General features: G+C 47.9%; 1 protein-coding gene across 1 annotated transcript in view, besides 1 other annotated feature; it reads right to left on the bottom strand.

Annotated features, from left to right (window-relative positions):
- The window catches only part of TMEM120B (transmembrane protein 120B), a 69,317-nt gene that overhangs the window by 39,208 nt on the left and 7,713 nt on the right, over positions 1-22,396 (bottom strand). The window lies entirely within an intron of this gene.
- Positions 14,404-15,024: an enhancer, noted in NCBI's record as "H3K4me1 hESC enhancer chr12:122165743-122166363 (GRCh37/hg19 assembly coordinates)". NCBI's record gives its function as "activates a minimal SCP1, AML or CMV promoter by ChIP-STARR-seq in naive H9 embryonic stem cells {active_cell/tissue: H9 hESC(naive)}" and the evidence as "EXISTENCE:reporter gene assay evidence [ECO:0000049][PMID:30033119]".

The following is a 22,396-nucleotide window of genomic DNA, read 5'->3' as shown; positions in this document are numbered from 1 at the left end:
GCTCACGCCTGTAATCCCAGCACTTTGGGAGGCTGAGGCAGGTAGATCAGAGGTCAGGAGTTCGAGACCAGCCTGGCCAACATGGCAAAACCCCGTCTCTACTAAAAATGTAAAAATTAGCCAGGCGGGCGTCTGTAATCCCAACTACTTGGGAGACTGAGGCAGGAGAATCACTTGAACCCAGGGGGCGGAGGTTGCAGTGAACTAAGACCACGCCACTTCACTCCAGCCTGGGCGAAAGTATGAAACTCCGTCTCAAAAAATAAAAATAAAAACAAAAACAATAAGCCACTGCTCACTTTGGCAGCACATGTACCAAAATTAGAATGATACAGACAAGGTCAACATGGGTCTTGAGGAATTAAAAAACATTGAAAAACAAAGCAACGATAAGCCAACAAACATATTTAAAGTGATTTTTTTTGTTTTGTTTTGTTTTTAGCAGTTGAAGAGATGGATTTATTAGAGGGAGAGCAAAAGGGGATGGTCCAACAGTGAGCACAGAGGCTAAACTCCCCTGCCTGCCAAGCAAGGCACCTAGGTATGAAAATTAAGTCAGGCCGGGCACGGTGGCTCACGTCTGTAATCCCAGCACTTTGGGAGGCCAAGGCAGGCAGATAATTTGAGGTCAGGAGTTCGAGACCAGCCTGACCAAAATAGTGAAACCCTGTCTCTACTAAAAATACAAAAATCAGCCGGGCATGGTGGCGTATGCCTGTAGTCCCAGCTACTCTGGAGGCTGAGACAGGAGAATCGTTTGAATCTGGGAGTCGGAGGTTGCAGTGAGCTGAGATCGTGCCACGGCACTCCAGCCTAGGTGACAGAGCAAGACTCCATCTCAAAAAAAAAAAAAGGAAGTTAAGTCAGTAAATAAGGAAGAGGCAAAGGCTAAGAATTAACTAGATGACAATTAGGAGACATCCAAGAATGCTGTGAGTGAGTCACCTTGGCCCACCCACTAGGAAGATGAAAGGGTGACTCCCTTCTCTCCTTCCTGGGCCCCCCAGGAAGGAAAAATCAATGCTTTTATTTTACTTAATGTTTTTATTTTAAAATAATTTCAAGTTGGGCATGGTGGCTCACGCCTGTAATCCCAGCTACTCGGGAGGCTAAGGCATGAGAATTGCTTGAACCCAGGAGGTGGAGGTTGCGGTGAGCTGAGATTATGCCACTGCACTCCAGAGTGAGACTCCGTCTCAAATAAATAAATAAATGAATAATAATAATAATAATTTCAGGCGCAGTGGCTCATGCCTGTAATCCCAGCACTTTGGGAGGCCAAGGCAGATGGATCACCTGAAGTCAGAAGTTTGAAACCAGCCTGACTAACATGGAGAAACCCTGTCTCTACTAACAACACAAAATTAGCCAGGCGTGATGGCACATGCCTGTAATCCCAGCTATTCAGGAGGCTGAATCAGGAGAATCGCTTGAACCCGGGAGGCACAGGTTGTGGTGAGCCGAGATCGCGCCATTGCACTCCAGCTTGGGCAACAAGAGTGAAACTCTGTCTCAAAATAATAATAATAGTAATAATAATAATTTCAAGCTTGCAGAATTACAAAAACAATACAAAGAACTCGCCTCTATTCTTCACCAGATTCACTAGCTGTTCCATCATGCTGTATTTGCTTTATCCCCCATGTATGTGTGCCTGCCTGTGTGTTCTTTTTCTCTATCAAGCAGGCATTCGTAAACCACCGCCGCAGGCCAAGTCTGGCTACCTAATTTTGTATGCTCAGTAAGACAGAAATGGGTTTTGCAGGGTTGAAAAAAAATCACAAGAATCTTTCGTGGTGTGTGAAAATTATATAAATTGGCATTGCAGTATCCATAAATAAAGTTTTATTGGAACACAGCCACACCCACCCATTCAAATATTCCCTGTGGCTGTGCTGGGACTCTAACAGCAAAACAAGTAGTTGTGACAGAGACCATATGGCCCATAAAGCTCAAAATTTTTACTATTTGGCCTTTTACCAAAAAGATTTGCCCACTCCAGTGCTAAACCATTTGGGAGTCAGTTGCAGGCAACACACCTCTTTTCTCCTAAATAGTACAGTGTGTATATAGTAAGAACAGCTATATTCTCTCAAATATCCATAGTACAATTATCAAATGCAACTGACCCTTAAACGACACGGGTTTCAACTGCATGTCCACTTATACACAGATTTTCTTCCACCTCTGCCACCCCGAGACAGCAAGACCAAGCCCTCCTCTTCCTCCTCCTGCTACTCCTCAATGTGAAGACACAAAGGATGAAGACCTTTACAATGGTGCACTTCCACTTAATGAAGAGTAAATATATTTTCTCTTCCTTATGATTTTCTTAATAACACTTTCTTTTCTCCAGCTTTTTGGTTTTTTTTTTTAAGACAGAGTCTCACTCTTGTTGCCCAGGCTGGAGTGCAGTGGCATGATCTCGAATCACTGCAACCTTCACCTCCCCGGGTTCAAGCGATTCTCCTGCCTCAGCCTCCCGAGTAGCTGGGATTACAGGCATGCACCACCACGCCTGGCTAATTTTGTATTTTTAGTAGAGACAGGGTTTCTCCATGTTGGTCAGGCTGGTCTCGAACTCCCAAACTCAGATGATTCACCTGCCTCAGCCTCCCAAAGTGCTGGGATTACAAGCATGAGCCACCGTGCCAGGCCTCTCTAGCTTTCTTTATTGTAAGAATACAATGTATAATGCATACATAAAATGTGTGTTAATCAACTGTATCTGTTATCAGTGAGACTCTGGTCAACATTAGGCTGATAGAAGTTTTGTGGGAGTCGCCGGGCGCGTTGGCTCACGCCTGTAATCCCAACACTTTGGGAGGCCAAGATGGGCCGATCACCTGAGGTCAGGAGTTTGAGACCAGGCTGACCAACATGGTGAAACCCCATCTCTACTAAAAACACAAAAATTAGCCGGGCATGGTGGCGGGCACCTGTAATCCCAGGTACTCAGGAGGCTGAGGCAGGAGAATCGCTTCAACCCGGGAGGGGGAGATTGCAGTGAGCTGAGATCACACCACTGCACTCTGTCTCAAAAAAAAAAAAAAAAAAAAAAAGAAGTGTTGCAGGAGTCAAAAGTTTCCGGCCAGGCTGGGTGGTTCACACTTGTAATCCCAGCACTTTGGGAGGCTGTGGTGTGTGGATCACTTGAGGCCAGGAGTTCAAGACCAGCCTGGTCAACATGGTGAAACCCGTCTCTACTAAAAATACAAAAATTAGCCAGGTGTGGTGGCGGGCGCCTGTAGTCCCAGCTACTCGGAAGGCTGAGGTGGGAGGATTACTTGAACCCAGGAGGTGGTGGCTGTAGTTAGCTGAGATCGTGTCACTGCACTCCAGCCTCAGTAACAGAGGGAGACTCTGTTCCAAAAAAAAAAGAAGTTACATATTTGGCTTTTTGACTGATTGGCACCCCTAACCCCACCTTGTTCAAGGGTCAATTGTCTAGAAAATGTAACGTTGATATAACACAATGCTATGGCCTCATATACCACTCAAATTCAAATTTTGCTAACTGTCTCTTTTATGGCAATTTTCCTCCAGATCTTGGATCCAATTCAGTCTCATGCCTTCTGGTACTGTTCATATCTCTTTACTCTCCTTTAATCTAGAACAATCTCCCAATCTCTGTCTTTCGTGAATTTAAGTTTGTTTTTGTTTTTTGTTTTTTGAGACAGAGTTTGACTCTTGTCGCCCAGGCCAGAGTACAGTGGTGCGATCTTGGCTCACTGCAACCTCTGCCTCCCGGGTTCAAGCAATTCTCCTGCCTCAGCCTCCCAAGTAGCTGGGATTATAGGTGCCACCATACCCAGCTAATTTTTGTATTTTTAGTAGAGATGGACGGGGTTTCACCATGTTGGCCAGGCTGGTCTGGAACTCCTGACCTCAAATGATCCTCCCACCTCGGCCTCCCAAAGTGCTGGGATTACAGGCATGAGCCACCATGCCCGGCCGAACTTAAGTTTTTAAAGAGTTCGGTCCAGTTGTCTGGAAGAATGTCCCCCAGTGGGGGTCTGCGGATGTTTCCTCATGATTTGGGGTATGTGTGGGGACCAGCATGCTACTAAAAGGATGTTGTGCCCTTATTAGTGGCTCCTGCCAGTAGGGACACCGTGTCCACGATGCTAACTTTGCTTGGTAAAGGCAGCCAGGATGCCCATCCAGTTTCTGCGCTATGTAGCGTCCAACTTTCCACTGGTAATTAATAAGTTATCTGTGTGGAGAAAGGCTGTGTTTTAATCACTTTTGAATTATTCAGTGCTAAACAGCCCTGTATGTCCAACAAATACCTGCTGGTAATGAACCCAGACAAGGAGGACAGAGGTGGAGAGATCCTGCCCAGATGATGCAACCTTGGGGAAGACGGGGCCCTGGCCTGAGAGGCTGCTGCGAGATAAGGGGCCCGCACCCCTCCTGGTGGCCTTTGGTGCTGGGTCCCGCCATGGAGAGATAAGACCAGGGCTGCAAAATCAGCTGCCAGATGCTCATCAGGCCCTCATCTGTTTCAATTAATATTTAATGTCACAAGTAAAACATGAAGACATCATCCTTGTTAAAAATTAAAACACCACAGCTATGGCTGAGGTCTGCTTTTTTTTTTGAGATGGAGTCTCTCTCTGTGGCCAGGCTGGAGTCCAGTGGCGCAATCTCGGCTCACTGCAACCTCTGCCTCCTGGGTTCAAGCAATTCTCCTGCCTCAGCCTCCCGAGTAGCTGGGATTACAGGCATGCGCCACCATGCCCAGCTAATTTTTGTATTTTTATATTTTTAGTAGAGTAGATTTTTAGTAGAATAGATTACAGGTGTGAGCCACTGTGCCTGGACTTTCTTTTTTTTTTTTTTTTTGTGGAGACAGGGTCTCACTCTATCACCCAGGCTAGAGTGCAGGGGCTCCACCTCAGGTCACTGTATGCTCCACCTCCCGGGTTCAAGTAATTCTTGTGCCTCAGCCTCCCAAGTAGCTGGGACTACAGGCGTGCACCACCATGTCCAACTAATTTTTGTATTTTTAGTAGAGATGGGGTTTCACCATGTTGACTAGGCTGGTCTCAAACTCCTGGCCTCAAGTGATGCGCCCACTTTGGCCTCCCAAAGTGCTGGGGTTACAGATGTGAGACACTGCACCTGGCAACTTGTGCAAGTTCTGAACCACATTTTTTATTAGGAACTGCTTGCCCTCCACCCTCTCTTCCCTGGCTGGGAAATGCAACAAAGGGCTCAGTTACCTTGAAGCCAGAAATGGAAGTCACATGATGCAAATGGCAGAGGCCATTGCCCCTCCCCAACCAAACTAACCTGAGTCCCAACGCAACCTCATGGGACAGAGCTTCCCAACTGTGACTTTTTTTTTTTTGAGACAGAGTCTTGCTCTGTCACCCACGCTGGAGTGCAGTGGCACAATCTCGGCTTACTGCAACCTCCGCCTCCTAGGTTCAAGTGATTCTCCTGCCTCAGCCTCCCGAGTAGCTGAGATTAAGGGTGCATGCAACCACACCCAGCTAATTTTTGTATTTTTAGTAGAAACAGGGTTTCATCATTTTGGCCAGGCTGGTATCAAACTCATGACCTTGGGTAATCCGCCCACCTCGGCCTCCCAAAGTCTGGGTTTACAGACGTAAGCCACCATGTCCCGTCCACTGTGATGGTTTTAAAACAGGGTCACCTATTCTTTATTATGCCTCACATAGAGAGGCAGTGCCTCTGTTCTCTCTCCTTAAATCTAGGTAGGCTTGTGACTAGTCTGACAATAGAATATGGCAGAATTGACACTACATAACTTCTGAGAAAAAGTCACGGAAGGCCCTGTGGCTTCCACCTAAGTTCCTGGAGCAACTAAGGAAGTGGAACTAGTTGCTCTTGGAGCAAAAAGTCCAGCTATCCTGAGGCAACCATGCTATATAGAAGCTTTAACCACAGAGACAAGTCCCAGGTAGTCACTCCAATCAGTAGCCCCAACTAAGACAAATCTGTCAGTCCCGCATAGGTTCCAGACATGTACGTAAAGAAACGTCCAGGCCAGGTGCAGTGGCTCGCACCTGTAATCCCGACACTTTGGGAGGCCAAAGTGGGCAGATCACCTGAGGTCAGGAGTTTGAGACCAGCCTTGCCAACATGGTGAAACCTCATCTCTACTAAAATTACAAAAATTAGTGTGGTGGTGCATGCCTATAATCCCAGCTACTCCAGAGGCTGAGGCAGGAGGATTGCTTGAACCCGGGAGGCGGAGGTTGCAGTGTGCTGAGAGTGTGCCACTGCGCTCCAGCCTGGTCAACAGAGGGAGACTCTGTCTCAAAAAGAAAAAGAAGGCCGGGCATGGTGGCTCACACCTGTAATCCCAGCACTTTGGGAGGCCAAGGCAGGCGGATCACCTGAGGTCAAGAGTTCGAGACCGGCCGGGCACGGTGGCTCACGCCTGTAATCCCAGCACTTTGGGAGGCCAAGGCGGGCGGATCACAAGGTCAGGAGATCGAGACAATCCTGGCTAACATGGTAAAACCCCGTCTCTACTAAAAATACAAAAAAAAAAAAAACACCAAACAATTAGCCAGGCATGGTGGCAGGAGGCTGAGGCAGGAGAATGGAGTGAACCTGGGAGGCAGAGGTTGCAGTGAGCTGAGACCACGCCACTGCACTCCAGCCTGGGCCACAGAGCGAGACACGCCGTCTTAAAAATAAATAAATAAATAAATAAAATGTGCAACAGTAACTTGATGCCTCATCCAGAAATGTTGCTGAAGCTAGGTAAGCTTCCATTTAGAGAAAACGTATCTAGTAACTCACCACCCTGCAAGTTTGGTGTTACTATGTAGTTTTTCTTCTTGAGTGAAAGTCCTTAGGTAGTAACACTTTTATAGATTATTGTTTAAAATCTGGTAATATGGCCAGGCGCACTGTAATCCCAACACTTTGGGAGGCCGATGCGGGTGGATCACGAGGTCAGGGGTTCAAGACCAGCCTGACTAACACGGTGAAACCCCCGTCTCTACTAAAAATATAAAAATTAGCCGTGTGTGGTGGTATGCGCCTGTAATCCCAGCTACTCAGGGGACTGAGGCAGAAGACTCACTTGAACCCAGGAGGCGGAGGTTGCAGTGAGCCGAGAATGCGCCACTGCACTCCAGCCTGGGCGACAGAGTGAGACTTGGTCTCAAAAAAAAAAAAGGCCGGGCACGGTGGCTCATGCCTGTAATCCCAGCATTTTGGGAGGCCAAGGCAGGCGGATCACAAAGTCAACAGATCGAGGCCATCCTGGCCAACATTGTGAAACCCTATCTCTACTAAAAATACAAAAATTAGCTGCCCATGGTGGTGTGCGCCTGTAGTCCCAGCTACTCGGGAGGCTGAGGCAGGAGAATTACTTGATCCCAGGACGCGGAGGTTGCAGTGAGCCGAGATCGTGCCACTGCACTCCAGCCTGGCAACAGAGCAAGACTCTGTCTCAAAAAAAAAAAAAATCTGGTAATATGGTATTTATTTGTAATTATGCTTGCAACTTTATTTAAATCTATTTATTCTCTTTAATGTTTGTTTTTATACAGATATGACTTCATAAAATAACTAGTATAAATTGGTAATAAGCAGTTTCTGCTGCTGGTCTGTCACTGAATGCCTTGTTTTCACTAAGTTGGGAGGTTTTGTTTCTGGGTTTTTTTTTTTGTTTTTTTTTTTTTTTGAGACAGAGTCTTGCTCTGTTGCCCAGGCTAGAGTGCACTGGTGCGATCTTGGATCACTGCAACCTCTGCCTCCTGGGTTCAAGTGATTCTCCTGCCTCAGCCTCCCAAGTAGCTGGGACTACAGGCGCATGCCACCACACCCAGCTAATTTTTTGTATTTTACTGCTCCTTGAAGAGCAGGGCTAACCCATGGGCAGCATGTCCAGAATAGCCTGGGTGAAGTTATGTACATATATACTAAATATTAATGTCCTTTTTTTTTTCTTTTTTTGAGATGTAGTTTTGCTCTTGTCGCCCAGGCTGGAGTGCAATGGCACTATCTCAGCTCGCTGCAACCTCCACCTCCCAGGTTCAAGTGATTCTCCTGCCTCAGCCTCCAAAGTACCTGGGATTACAGGCACCTGCCATCACGCCCAGCTAATTTTTGTATTTTTAGTAGAGATGGGTTTTGCCATGTTGGCCAGGCTGGTTTCAAACTCCTGACCTCAGGTGATCCACCCATCTCAGCCTCGCAAAGTGCTGGGATTACAGGTGTGAGCCACCATGCCCAGCCTGTCCATTTTTTAAAAGAAGTAAAAATAAAACTTATTTTGCAAACTAAAAAAACAAAGAAAAAGAAACTTTCATGGCCAGGCGTGGTGGCTCACGCCTGTAATCCCAGCACTTTCGGATGCCAAGGTGGGTGGATCATCTGAGGTCGGGAGTTCGAGACCAACCTGACCAACATGGAGAAACCCCATCTCTACTAAAAGTACAAAATTAGCCAGGCATGGTGGTTCATGCCTGTAATGCCAGCTACTCAGGAGGCTGAGGCAGGAGAATTGCTTGAACCTGGGAGGCAGAGGTTGCAGTGAGCCAAGATCATGCCATTGCACTCCAGCCTGGGCAACAAGAGCAAAACTCCATCTCAAAAAAAAAGAAAAAGAAAGAAACCTCCAGAAGATTCCAGCCCCAGCCATGTGAGTTACCCCTCGCCACTCAAGTTTTCCCAGAAAAGGCACCAGACATCACAGAGCACAGTCAGGCCTCCCTCTATGCCCTGTCTATATTCCTGACCCACAGAATCCACGAGCATCAGGCAGCCGTTGTTTTATGCACCGTAGATAAAAAACACCACTCACCCTGGGCCACGCCGCCCTCTGGACTGTCATGTGACAAAGAAACTACTTAATTCCAGGCATTTTACTTTCAGATCTCTTTGTGACAGCAGCGTAGCTTATACCCTAAACACATCCTTTGGGTTTTTTAAAAGTATATTAACAGTATCAGAATATACATTAGATTCCATAACTTGCTTTTCTCACTCAATAATATGTCTTGGAGATCTACGCACATAACAATATATGGGGCCAGGTGCAGTGGCTCACACCTGTAATCCTAGCACTTTGGGAGGCCGAGGTGGGCGGATCACTTGAGGTCAAGAGTTCGAGACCAGCCTGGCCTACATGGCGAAACCCCATCTCTACTAAAAATACAAAAATTAGCCAGGCATGATGGTGCACACCTGTAATCCCAGTTACTTGGGAGGCTGAGGCATGAGAGTTGCTTGAACCCAAGGCAGAGGCTGCAGTGAGCCGAGGTCACACCATTGCACTCCGGCCTGGGCAACAGAGTGAGACTCTGTCTCAAAAAAAAAAAAAATACCAGGCACGGTGGCTCACGCCTATAATCCCAGCACTTTGGGAGGCCGAGGCGGGCGGATCATGAGGTCAGGAGATCAAACCCATCCTAGCTAACATGGTGAAACCCCTTCTTTACTAAAAATACAAAAAATTAGCCAGGCATGGTGGCGGGCGCCTGTAGTCCCAGCTACTTGGGAGGCTGAGGCAGGAGAATGGTGTGAACCCAGGAGGCGGAGCTTGCAGTGAGCCGAGATCATGCCAGGGCACTCCAGCCTGGGCAACAGAGCGAGACTCTCTCTCTCAAAAATAAAAAAAGAATATATGGATACACTCCACTCTTTAGTGGTATGCATATTTTGTGCTACAGATATACTCTAGTTTCTTTAGTCCTTCCCCTATTGCTGGATATTTATGTTGCTTCCTGTGTCTGACTATAACCAACAATGCAAAAGAATAGTATCCTTGCACGGCCTCTCTGGGCACACAGGCAAGTATGTCTCTAGAGAAGATTTCTCTGGGGAAGAGAGGTAAAATTGCAGGTCAGAGGGTACAGGCTTGTTATTAGATTTTTTTTTTTTTTTTTTGAGACAGAGTCTCCCTCTGTTGCCCAGGCTGGAGTGCAGTGGCGCGACCTCGGCTCACTGCAACCTCCGCCTCCCAGGTTCAAGTGATTCTCCTGCCTCAGCCTCCCAAGTAGCTGGGACTACAGGCACGTGCCACCACGCCCGGCTAATTTTTTGTATTTTTAGTAGAGACAGGGTTTCACCATGTTAACCAGGATGGTCTGGATCTCCTGACTTTGTGATCCACCTGCCTCGGCCTCCCAAAGTGCTGGGATTACAGGCGTGAGCCACCGCGTCCGGCCTTGTTATTAGATTTAGTAAGTTTTGGCAAACTGCCCTTCAGAGTAGCTATACCAATTTATAGTCCCACCCACAGCATATAACAGCTGTCCACATCTGAGCAACACTCCATGCTATAAACATTTAATTTTTTTCAGGTACTTTTCTAATGTTCCACTGGTGATGGTGACTGGATAAGAATGGTTAATCCGTGGGCCTTCCCATAATTTTGTCCCCTGATACACGAGGTCATTCCTGCTCCCCTGCAATTCTCTCGCTCTGTCATTGGCCAGAGTCATTTCAGGGGTAAAGGGGAGGGATCCCTCACTGGAGGTCACACACACCTAGTCCACCCCCAGCCTTAGCTCTAGGCTCAGGATTTGCCAGCCACGAGGAGGACAACATGGAGTGAGGGGAGCCACAAACAAGGACCTTAGTGTGACACATTCTCCACCCGCAAGGCATTCTGCGCCCACGCCCAGTCTTCGTGGATTCCACCCTTGTGCCAGCCTCACAAGCAGTGGGAAAGGTCATCAATTCATTTCTTGTATCCTTACTTTTTTCCAGACTCTTTCTTTCCTTTTGAGATGGAGTCTTGCTCTGCTGCCCAGGCTGGAGTGCAATGGCCCGATCTCTGCTCACTGCAACCTCTGCCTTTTGGGTTCAAGAGATTCTACTGCTTCAGCCTCCCGAGTAGCTGGGGCTACAGGCGCCCGCCACCACGCCCAGCTAATTTTTGTATGTTTAATAGAGACAGCATTTCACCGTGTTAGCCAGGCTGGTCTCAAACTCCTGACCTCAGGTGATCCGCCTGCCTCGGCCTCCCAAAGTACTGGGATTACAGGCATGAACCTCTCTTTCATTTTTTAATTGTGGTAAAATATACATAACTTTTAACCATTTGTAAATGTTTTAAATTGTGATAAAATACACAAAATATTTATCCTCTTAATCATTTTAATTGTACAATGCGATGGCATTACACTCATACTGTGGTACAGTCATGTGTCGCTTAAGAAACAGGATCGTTCTAAGAAATGCATTATTAGGCGATGCCGTCATTACGCAAACGTTAGAGTACACCTACAGAAACCTGGATGGTATAGACTATTGCTCCTGGGCTACAAACCTACACAGCATGCTACTGTACTCAATACTGTAGCAGACTGTAACACAGTGGTAAGTATTCATGTATCTAAATGTATCTAAACAGGGCCTAGGGCAGATCACTTGAGGCCAGGAGTTTGAAACCAGCCTGGCCAGTATGGCAAAACCCCTTCTCTGCTAAAAATACTACAAAAATTAGCCAGGCATGGTGGCACCCGCCTGTAATCTCAGCTACTCAGGAGGCTGAGGCAGGAGAATCACTTGAGCTGGGGAGGCAGACGTTGCAGTGAGCCTAGATCGCACCACTGCACTCCAGCCTGGGCGACAAAGCAAGACTACGCCTGAAAAAAATAAAATAAATAAATAAATGTATCTAAACACAGAAAAAGGTACAGTAAAAATATAGCATCATAATCTCATAGGACCACTGTCTTTGACAGACACATCAGTATGCAATGTGTGACTATACCACAATCCATTTCCAGAACTTCACCATGCCAAACAGAAACTATGAACCCATCAAATAATTCCCCATTTCACCTTCCCCTCAGCCCCTGGCAATCACTATTCTGTCTTCTGTCTCTACGAATTTGACTACTCTAGGTACCGCCTGTAAGTGGAATCATACAGTATGTGTCTTTTCTTTTTTTTTTTTGAGACAGAGTTTCGCTCTTGTTACCCAGACTGGAGTGCAGTGGCGCAATCTCGGCTCACCGAAACCTCCGCCTCCTGGGTTCAAGTGATTCTCCTGCCTCAGCCTCCCGAGTAGCTGGGATTACAGGCATGTGCCACCATGCCCAGCTAATTTTTGTATTTTTAGTAGAGATGGCATTTCTCCATGTTGGTCAGGCTGGTCTCGAACTCCCAACCTCAGGTGATCCACCCGCCTCAGCCTCCCAAACTGCTGGGATTACAGGTGTGAGCCACCGCGCCCGGTTTTTTTTTGTTTGTTTTTTTTTTTTTTTTGACTGTGTCTCGCTCTGTCGCCAGGCTGGAGTGCAGTGGAGTGATCTCGGCTCACTGAAACCTCCGCCTCCTGGATTGAAGTGACTCTCCTGTCTCAGCCTTCCAAGTAGTTGGGGCTACAGGCATGCAGTATCATGCCCAGCTAATTTTTGTATTTTTTTTTTTAGTAGAGAAGGGGTTTCACCATATTGGCCAGGATGGTCTCGATCTCCTGACCTCATGATCTGCCCGCCTCTGCCTCCTAAAGTGCTGAGATTACAGGTGTGAGCCACCGTGCCCAGACCAGTATGTGTCCTTTAATGACTGGCTTATTTATCACTTAGCATAATGTGCTCCAGGCTCACCTGTATCATGGCATGTATCAGAATTTCCTTCTTTTTTTTTTTTTTTGAGATGGAGTCTCACTCTGTTGCCAGGCTGGAGTGCAGCGGCCCAATCCTGGCTCACTGCAACCTCCGCTTCCTGGGTTCCAGGGATTCTCCTTCCTCAGCCTCTTGAGTAGCTGGGATTACAGGCGCCTGCTACCACGCCCAGCTAATTTTTGTATTTTTAGTAGAGACGGGGTTTCACCATGTTGGCCAGGATGGTATCGATCTCCTGACCTCATGATCTGCCCACCTCAGCCACCCAAAGTGCTGGGATTACAGGCGTGAGCCACCGCACCTGGCCAGAATTTCCTTCCTTTTTAAGGCTAGTAGTCCACTATATGGACGAGCCACATTTTATTTATCCACGCCTCCACTGATGGATGGAAGATGGGTTGCTTCCATCTTTTGGCTATTGTGAATAGTGCTGCCGTGAGCATGGGTGTACAAATATCTTTCTGAAACCCCGCTTTCTATATTTTAAAAGACGGGATCGCTCTCTGTCGCCCAGGCTGCGGTGCAGTGGCACAATCATGGCTCACTGCAGCCTCAAACTCCTGGGCTCAAGCGATCCTCCCACCTCAGCCTCCCGAGTAGCTAGAACTACAGGCATGTGCCACCCTGTCAGCTTTTTTTTTTTTTTCTTGTAGAGATGGTCTATGTTGCCCAGGCTGATCTCCAACTCCTGGGCTGACGCTATTCTCCCACTTCAGCCTCCCAAAGTGCTGGGATTACAGGTGTGAGCCACCACATCCCACCTGCTTTCAATTGTTTTAGGTATATACCCCAGAAGTGGAATTGCTGGACCATATGGTAATTCGATGTTTAATTTTTTGAGGAACTGCCATACTGTTTTCTATGCAGCTGTCTTGATGCACTGTGCATGGGGCATTTCTGCCAGGTGGACGAGATACAATCCCAGTCTTCCCTTGGAGTCCCTGGCTACTCTTTGCACATCAGGGTGTCTCCAGCAGGCCCTCAGTTGGATCTGTGCTTTGAGATGCTTTTTCCGGGAGCAGAGGGTGAGCCAACGGAGGCACTGCAAGCCTCCAAGCAACCTTGGCCCTGTGGCCTCGAATGGAACCAGCTGGCCGGATGGAGGCTTTCTGCTGTTTTTGCCAATCAGGCAGCCATTCCCCTTCTGGTTAACATCCCCATAGTTTTTTGCGGTACCCATCCCTCTGCCACACTCAGTCCATGAAATGTGGCTAGAAGCAGGGTTAGGCCTGGCCACAGGCTCCAGGAGAGAGCACATGGCCCAGGCCTGGCCAGTCAGAACATCGGCCTCCCAACCCAGCAGGTAATTCAGGGATGGGCATCTGGAACCAGCAAAACTCAGTAGAAGAGGATTTATGAGAACTGCTGAGAAAGAGAAACTCTTCTCTCCCTAGTTCTGAAGGTAGCAAGATGGGGACCCAGAGCTCATAGGGCTGTCTTGCCAGTCTCTGGAGGACCCAGCCTGAGAATGAACCCAGTTTGGGAAAACAGGGCAGAGAGGTAGATGAAAGCGGAGCCCTAATGATTGCACCTGAGCTCCTGGAACTGCTTACACCTGAAGGTAGCACCCTTCTGACTTCCTAATTACATAAGTAAACACGTTCTGTGCTGTTCTGTTTTACCTTCCCAGTTGGGGCTGAGTGTTTCCATTTCAGAAGTGAGTGTCGGCCGGGCGCGGTGGCTCATGCCTGTAATCCCAGCACTTTGGGAGGCCGAGGTGGGCGGATCATCTGAGGTCAGGGGTTTGACACAAGCCTGGCCAACATGGTGAAACCCATTCTCTTTTTTTTTTTTTTTGAGACGGAGTCTCGCTCTGTCGCCCAGGCTGGAGTACAGTGGCGTAATCTCGGCTCACTGCAAGCTCCATCTCCCAAGTTCACGCCATTCTCCTGCCTCAGCCTCCCGAGTAGCTGGGACCACAGGCGCCCACCACCATGCCCGGCTAATTTTTTGTATTTTTAGTAGAGGCAGGGTTTCACTGTGTTAGCCAGGATGGTCTCGATCTCCTGACCTCATGATCCGCCCACCTCTGCCTCCCAAAGTGCTGGCATTACAGGCGTGAGCCACCGTGCCCGGCCTGTGAAACCCATTCCCTACTAAAAATACAAAAATTCGCCAAGCGTCCTGGCAGGCACCTGTAATCCCAGCTATTTGGGAGGCTGAGGCCGGAGAATCACTTGAACCCGGAAGGCAGAGGGCGCAGTGAACCGAGATCACACCACTGCACTCTAGCCTGGGCGACAGAGTGAGACTCTGTCTTAGGGGGAAAAAGAAAAGTGAGTGTCAAAAATCAGATTAATATGGCAAAGAACAGAACTTTCCTTCTGAGCAAAGTTAACCACACTTAGTTAAGAAAAGAAGCTCTGAACCTTGGACTCATTGTTACCAATCTCTTTTTTTTTTTTTTTTTTTGAGATGGAGTGTCGCTCTGTCGCCCAGGCTGGAGTGCAGTGGCACGATCTTGGCTCACTGCCAGCTCCACCTCCCGGGTTCACGCCATTCTCCTGCCTCAGCCTCCCGAGTAGCTGGGACTACTGGCGCCTGCCACCACGCCTGTCTAATTTTTTGTATTTTTTAGTAAAGACAGGGTTTCACCGTGTTAGCCAGGATGGTCTCTATCTCCTGACCTCGTGATCCGCCCGCCTCGGCCTCCCAAAGTGCTGGGATTACAAGCGTGAGCCACCGCACCGGGCCAATGTTACGAATCTCTTAACCAGGGCACGGTCTTTTTTTTTTTTTTTTTTTTTTTGAGACAGGGTCTCTCTCTGTCATGCGGGCTGGAAGGGCAGTGGTGCAATCACAGCTCACCACAGCCTCAACTTCCCCAGCTCAAGTGATCCTCCTGCCTCAGCCTCCCGAGAAGCTGGAACCATGGGCACGCACGACCATGCCTGGCTCATTTTTTATTTTTTTGCAGAGACGGGGTCTCATTATGCTGCCCAGGCTGGTCTCAAACTCCTGGGTTCAAGCAATCCTCTTGCCTTGGCCTCCCAAAGTGCTGGGATGACAGGCATGAGCCATGGCCCCTGGATGTCATCCTAAAGATGTGAAAAACCAGGGACTTGGAGGCTGCTTGAATGATTCCTTCATCAAGCCAGGAACTAAGCAGCACCCCTAAAAATGCATATCTCTGAACACCCACATTGGGTGTTTTTCTACCAAACGGAGAAACTAAAGCATTTTAAAATTATTTGTATGTATCTATTTATTTTGAGACCGGGTTATGAAACTGACTAATTTTTGTATTTGTAGTAGAGATGGGTGTTTGCCATGTTGCCCAGGCTGATCCTGCCTTAGCCTCCCAAAGTGCTGGGATTACAGGCGTGAGCCACCGTGCCCAGCCTGAAGCTTTTTTTTTTTTTTTTTTTTTTTTTTTTTGAGACAGAGTCCCACTCTGTTGCCCAGGCTGAAGTGCAATGGCAAGACCTCAGTTCACTGCAACCTCCATCTCCTGGGTTCAAGCAATTCTCCCTGCCTCAGCCTCCCAAGTAGCTGGGATTACAGGCACGTACCTCCATGCCTGGCTAATTTTTGTATTTTTTTAGTAGAGACAGAGTTTCACCATGTTGGTCAGGTTGGTCTCAAACTCCTGACCTCAGGCAATCCACCTACCTTGGCCTTCCCAAGTGCTGGGATTATAGGCATGAATGAGCCCCTGCACCTGGCCTGAAGCATTATTATTATTATTTTATTTTATTTTTTTTTTTGAGACAGAGTCTCGCTCTGTCACCCAGGCTGGAGTGCAGTAGCGCGATCTCGGCTCACTGCAAGCTCCGCCTCCCAGGTTCATGCCTTTCTCCTGCATCAGCCTCCCGAGTAGCTGGGACTACAGGTGCCTGCCACCATGCCCGGCTAATTTTTTCTATTTTTAGTAGAGACGCGGTTTCACCATGTTAGCCAGGATGGTCTCGATCTCCTGACCTCATGATCCACCTGCATCGGCCTCCCAAAGTGCTGGGATTACAGGCGTGAGCCACTGCGCCCAGCCGAAGCATTATTTTTAACAACTTCATTGATATATAATTTACATGCCATACAATTCACCCATTTTAATAATATAATTCAGTGATTTTTATACATTTACCAGGTTGTACAACCATCACCACATCTCGTGTTAGAACCTTCTATCACCCAATAAGATCCCCGGTGTCTCTTCGCAGTCACTCTCCATCTCCCCTTCTTCCTAACCCACAGCAACCTTTAACCACCTTTCTGTCCAGAGGTGGTTTTTTTTTTGTTTTTTTTTTTTTGAGACAGAGTCTCGCTTGTTGCCCAGGCTGGAGTGCAGTGGCATGATCTCTGCTTACTGCAACCTCCGCCTCTCAGGTTCAAGCCATTCTCCTGCCTCAGCCTCCTCAGTAGCTGGGACTACAGGTACGCATCACCACACCCGGCTAATTCTTGTATTTATAGTAGAGATGCGGTTTCACCATGTTGGCCAGGCTGGTCTCGAACCCCTGACCTCAGGTGATCTGCCCTCCTTGGCCTCCCAGAGTGCTGGGATTACAGGCGTGAGGCACCATGCCTGGCCCTGTCTCTATAGTTCTTTTCTGCATATTTCATATAAATGGAATCACACAGCATGGGGTTTTTGCATCTGGCTTTTTTGACTTAGCATCATGTTTTTGTAGCATGGATCTGTTTTGTTTCCTTTTATTGCTAGTCAGCAATAAAAATGTGGCCCAGATACACCAGTTGTTTGGGTTGTTTTGACTTTTTGGTTACTGTATCGTGAATAATGCTGCTATGAAGATCCGATGTCATGTAAGTCTGTGTGGACCTGTCTTTTCATTTCTCTTGGGTAGATACCTAGGAATGGAATTGCTGGGTCATATGGTAAATTTCTGTCTAACTTTTAAAGAAGATGCCAAACTGCTATTTTTATTTCCAACCTTGGCAGCAGTAGATTAGAACACGGGAGACCCTCACCCAAAAATGGGAGGCAGCTCTCTGCAGACAGTGCAGGGACCACCAGCACATTAAACATGATTGACTCCCACCATCGAATCCCTAGCTCTAAAAATTTAACTTAGAGTGCTGGGGGCACTGATAGACAGTTGTGGAAGAAAATCCATTCTGCAGCACAAGGCAAACCCCAGCTCCCCAGCTGCCTACTTCAAAGCCAATCCAAACAAACAAACAAAGCACACTTCATAGAATACCCAAATCAGAACAAAGGGGAAAAAGGGTAATTATAAGGAAAACATTGGCAGTAAGGAATCAAATACCAAGACACTTATTCATCCAAGAGAGAAAAATACAATCATAGTACACTACTTGATTCTGCTGTAAGTGATATTTGCATGGTCCTAACCACGTAAATGACTGACATGGAGCCTATAGAACTGTTTCTCTTTATAAAACTTTTAGTATGTTGGCCAGGCGCGGTGGCTCACACCTGTAATCCCAGCACTTTGGGAGGCCAAGGCGGGTGGATCACAAAGTCAGGAGATCGAGACCATCCTGGCTAATGTGGTGAAACCTCGTCTCTACTAAAAATACAAAAACTTAGCCGGGTGTGGTGGCGGGCGCCTGTAGTCCCAGCTACTCGAGAGGCTGAGGCAGGAGAATGGCGTGAACCTGGGAGGCAGAGCTTGCAATGAGTCGAGATTGCGCGACTGCATTCCAGCCTGGGTGACAGAGCGAGACTCCATCTCAAAAAAAAAAAAACACAACTTTTAGTATGTTGCATTATTTTTTGGTCTCCTGCATATTTTATTATGAAACAGTTAAGGCATGTGAAAAAAAAAAGACATAACATCATTTAATTAACATCCATCTTCTCACCATAAACCTAAGAAATAGTACAGCCAGGTGCAGTGGCTCACAGCTGTAATCCCAGCACTTTGGGAGGCCAAGGCGGGTGGATCACTTGCTTGAGGCCGGGAGTTCGAGATCAGCCTGACCAACATGGTGAAACCCTGTGTCTACCAAAAATATAAAAATTATCTGGCTGGGCACAGTTGCTCACACCTGTAATCCCAGCACTTTGAGAGGCTGAGGCGGGCGGATCACGAAGTCAGGAGTTCAAGACCAGTCTGGCCAACATAGTGAAACCGTCTCTACTAAAAATACAAAAAATTAGCTGGGTGTGGTGGCCGGTGCCTGTAATCCCAGCTACTATGGAGGCTGAGGCAGGAGAATCACTTGAACCCAGGAGGTGAAGGATGCAGTGAGTGGAGATCGTGCCACTGCACTCCAGCCTGGGTGACAGTGCAAGACTCCATCTCAAAAAAAAAAAAAAAAAAAAAAAAAGGATCACTTGAGACCAGCCTGGACAACACAGTGAGATCCCATGTCTCAAAAAAAAAATTTAATTATAACTGGCATGGTGGTATGTGCCTGTAGTCACAGCTACTTGCGAGACTGAGACAGGAGGATCACTTGAGCCAGGAGGTGAAGGCTGCCGTGGTCATGATCACACCCCCGCACTCTAGTCCGAGTGTCAGAGACCTTGTCTCAAAAGAAAAACAAAAGAAAAGAAGGAATAGTACACACAGAGTTGAATGGCCTCATGGATCCCTCCTACATGGTATTCCCATCCTCTGCCCCTGCCAAAGAGGTAGATTGTGGTAATTTCCTCAACCCATGCCCACCCCAGATCAGTCCTGGCTTTCTCTGTGCCCTGGGAGGCTGATCCCTAGGAACTGCCCTCCAGTTGAGTTTAGTCAATGGTAGTCACCAGAAGACTGGAGGGCGGGAGAAGAGAGAGGCTGGGGTATCTGTTTCTCCTGCCTCCTCCCTGTTCTGCTGCCCCCTTCATCCACTACAGCTCCTCACTGGCAGCTCCTGCCCCGCCAGCACAAGCTTGTGCCAAGCTCTGGTGACTCCTCCCCTTTCAGGATCAGGACTAGTAACAGCTCCCTGCTGTGGCCAGCTCCAGCCATTAAACTGCCCATACCTGAGCCTGGGCAACACAGCAAGACCCTGTCTCTGCAGAAGATTAGAACATTAGCTGAGCACAGTGGCACATGCCTGTAGTCCCAGCTACTCAGGAGGCTGAGGTGGGAAGATAGCTTGAGCCTAGGAGTTCAAGGCTGCAGTGAGCTATGATACCGCCACTGCACTTCAGCCTGAACGATGGAGTTAGACCCCCCTCTCTCTTAAAACAAAACAAAACAAACAAACAAACAAACAAAAGCCAGGCGCGGTGGCTCATGTCTGTAATCCCAGCACTTTGGGAGGCGAGGCAGGCGGATCACCTGAGGTCAGGAGTTTGAGACCAGCCTGACTAACATGGAGAAACCCCGTCTCTACTACAAATACAAAATTAGCCGGGTGTGGAGGTGCATGCCTGTAATCTCAGCTACTTGGGAGGCTGAGGCAAGAGAATTGCTTGAACCCGGGAGGCGGAGGTTGCAGTGAGCCAAGATCGCGCCATTGCACTCCAGCCTGGGCAACAAGAGCGAAACTCCATCTCAAAAAAAAAAAAAAAAAGTAAATTTAAAAAACTGCCCACACCTTTGTAAACAGCCCCTTATTTTCAGCGAGACCTTCCTGAGACAGCCATTGACTTCTTGCTTGGGCCCTGTCTGAATTTCCATGATAGCACCAACTGTGGTCTTTATCACTCCTTTGCAAGTCTTTATACTTGGACTACATACAATGTATCATTAAGCAATATACTGTGTTGTTTTCAATGTTTTTGCCTTTATTGCAAGTGCCACATTGTACATACCCCTCTGCAACTTTCTGCAGGATGTTAACACAGGTAGCTCAGTTTATTCACTCTCCTGCTTCACCTCTCTCTGGGTGCTCAGTGTAATGATCCATTCCCACGGACGTTCAGGTTGCCAGTTTTTAGTTGTGTTATAAAAACTACTATGCATGGCTGCTACATGAATTTTTAACTGTGTGAATATGTATTACTTATAAAAATGTAGAATGGAGGCCGGGCACAGTGGCTTACGCCTCTAATCCCAGCACTGTGGGAGGCTGAGGTGAGCAGATCACAAGGTCAGGAGTTCGACACTAGCCTGATCAACATGGTAAAACCCCGTATCTACTACAAATAAAAAAATTAGCCTGCTGTGGTAGCACACGCCTGTAATACCAACTACTCAGGGGGCTGAGGCAGAAGAATCGCTTGAACCCGGGAGGCAGAGGTTGCAGTGAGCCGAGATCGTGCCACTGTATTCCAGCCTGGGCAACAGAGCGAGACTCTATCTCAAAAAAAAAAAAAAAAGGCCAGGTGTGGTGGCTCACGCCTATAATCCCAGCACTTTGAGAGGCCAAAGCGGGCGGATCACAAGGTCAAGAGATCGAGACCATCCTGGCCAACATGGTGAAACTCTACTAAAAATACAAAAATTAGCTGGGCATGGTGGCACATGCCTGTAGTCCCAGCTACTCAGGAGGCTGAGGCAGGAAAATCGCTTGAACCCGGGAGGCAGAGGTTGCAATGAGCTAAGATTGAGCCACTGCACTCCAGCCTGGGCGACAGAGCAAGACGCTGTCTCAAAAAAAAAAAAAAAAAAAAAAGTAGAACTGATTCCATTCAAAAAAAAAGGAGGGCCAGGGCTGAATGCAGTGGCTTATGCCTGTAATCCCAGCACTTTGGGAGGCTGGAGTGGGCGGATCACGAGGTTAGGAGTTCAAGACCAGCTTGGCCAACATGGTGAAACCCCATCTACTAAAAATACAAAAATTAGCTGGGCGTGGTGGTGCCTGCCTGCAATCCCAGCTACTCGGGAGACTGAGGCAGAAGAATTGCTTGAAACCAGAAGGCGGAGGTTGCAGTGAGCCAAGATGGCACCACTGCACTCCAGCCTGGGCAACAAGAGTGAAACTCTTGGTTGAAAAAAAAAAAGGAGGACCAGGCACTCATACCTATAGTCTCAGCACTTTGGGAGGCTGAGATGGGAGGAATGCTTGAGGCCAGAAGTTCAAGACCAGCCTGGGCAACATGACAAAACCCCATCTCTACAAAAATTACAAAACTTAGCCAAGTGTGGTGGTGTGTGCCTGTAGTCCCAGATACTCAGGAGGCTGAAGAGGGAGAATCACTTGAACCCAGGAAGTTGAAGCTGCAGTGATCCATGATGGGACCACTGCATTCCAGCCTGGGCGACAAAGTGAGACCCTCTCTTACAAAACAACAACAAAAAGGAGAACTGCTCACATGAGCTCTGTGAGCTGTCATGCCCAGAGCATCTTCCCTACTTGTCTAATTACCATCCTCCGCATGTAGAAGACACAAACAAGCAAGTTTCCTTTGGAAGATTCAGGGATCTCTGCCACCTCTGCTGTCCTCTGAGACCCAAGCTCTGCCCCAGTGGGAAGATGAGGTTAATGACTCCTGTTCCCAGTACAGATGTGAAACATCTGAAGACACCTCCTTAACACATCTTGGCTGTCGGAAGATCCAGGACTGGGGAGTCAACATGTGTTGCAGGAATTGCTAGAGGAATCTCACGGCATTTACAGACATGGTTCTGGCCCAGGAGCATCAGAAGTCGCTGGGCAGTCCAGTAGACTGCAATAGGGCCATACCGCCACTTAAGTGTGGTGCCTTAGAGCTGTGCCTCTTGCTGGTGGTAAACTTTCAAGAGATTCCTTTTTTTTTTCTTTTGAGACACAGTCTTACTCTGTCGCCCAGTCTGGAGTGCAGTGACACAATCATGGCTGCTCACCACAGCCTTCACCTCCCTGGGCTCAGGCGATCCTCCTCTCTCAACCACCCGAGTAGCTGAAACTACAGGCCTGTGCCACCATGCCTGGCTAATTTTTGTATTTTTTGTAGAGACAGGGGTTTTGCCATGTTGCCTAGGCTGGTCTCAAACTCCTGAGCTCAAATGACCTGCCTATCTTGGCCTCCCAAG

This window comes from Homo sapiens, chromosome 12, assembly GCF_000001405.40.
Source record: "Homo sapiens chromosome 12, GRCh38.p14 Primary Assembly".
In the NCBI taxonomy this organism is placed as follows: Eukaryota; Metazoa; Chordata; class Mammalia; order Primates; family Hominidae; genus Homo; species Homo sapiens.
The sequence above is the reverse complement of the archived record's forward strand: the minus strand, read 5'-3'. Positions and strand labels throughout refer to the sequence as shown.